We start from the raw sequence: 1,285 nt of genomic DNA on the forward strand, positions 1-1,285 counted from the left end.
CACAACTATTCACTTGAGCAATAATTAGGAAGGCGAGTTCCTTTAAAAATGAACATATGATTTGGGACATGGTCTGAATTGGAGAAAGCTAGCAATTTTGAAGTGGTAGTGTTGGTTCTCTCCACAAGAGGGCGCCTCTATTCTTTGTTTTTATTTTCTATCTGGAAGCAACAATTTATGTTTATTACTGGCACAGAATAAACAGAAGAGTGACTTATGTTTTGCTGTTTGCAGAGCTGACTTCATGTAAAATTTGGACAGTTTTATTACATTCCAAACAGTTACAGTTTTTTTCCGTCAGGACTTTGGGATATGTGGTTAGCACTGTTTCTTTTTAACAGTATCCTTATAATACATGAGCTCTATGCTATTTAGATTATCTGTAAAAATATCTCGTTCATTAGTGCCCATGAAAAAGATGTCAGTAAAATAGCCCCCTCCAAAATATGCTTCTGCATATTTGAAAGAATATTTACATAACACAGAAAGCAACTGGTTGCTTCACTTAAAATAGTGAGACAATTGAATGATACATTTGCTTATTGCAGCACTATGGAGACATTACCACTAACAAGTTCAGACAAGTATCATGACAGTTTCTCAGATCCCATCCAGAAATAAGAAAAGGGCTGCCTGTCCCAGAGATAGGCCTGGGGATGAGGTGGACACCAGTGAGGATGAAGACATCTGAAAATCAAAAAGTGGTGGCTTTTGAACTTAGTGTGAATTGCAACATAAATAATCAACTAAGCAGATAAGAGAGCATAAAAGCAGAACTGAAATTTTAATGGCATTGAACAAAAGTGTGTGAAAGTCACAGGCCCTGCGGCCCAGGGCCCCGTTATGCCTGGTGGTATGATACAGTGGCAAAGGGAGATGCAATTTTTTGAGATTCTTGCAATTTTATGCTTTTCTGGGAAATAATTCTCTTTCTCTCACCCAGCCTTTCCCCCTGTACCCCCACCCCCACAATCTTTTTGCTGCTGAACTAATATGACTTTGGGAGGGGATATCTGGGTTAGCATTTAAGTTCTCTACAAAGGTTAGAAATATAATATTAAAACTTTTGAGACTAATGATTTTGCTTCACCTTGCTGTGAGAGTTTCTTTCCTTGTGAGAGGAAGAAGACGTGGAAAAAACAAAACAAAACAACTTTCTGGGCTATGCTATTATGTTAAGCATTTCCCCTAAAAGTCTCATATGTAGATTAAAACGCTCAGCCTTTAAATTAATGTGACCAGGCATTCACATGGCTGATTATGTCGACAAGCTTGGCTGTGCGAA

At 38.1% G+C, this 1,285-nt stretch overlaps 1 annotated feature.

Moving 5' to 3' along the window:
* Positions 689 to 808: an enhancer, noted in NCBI's record as "active region_7440". NCBI's record gives its function as "activates an Ori minimal core promoter by ATAC-STARR-seq in GM12878 lymphoblastoid cells {active_cell/tissue: GM12878}" and the evidence as "EXISTENCE:reporter gene assay evidence [ECO:0000049][PMID:35858748]".

Source organism: Homo sapiens, chromosome 13, assembly GCF_000001405.40.
Source record: "Homo sapiens chromosome 13, GRCh38.p14 Primary Assembly".
Classification (NCBI taxonomy): Eukaryota; Metazoa; Chordata; class Mammalia; order Primates; family Hominidae; genus Homo; species Homo sapiens.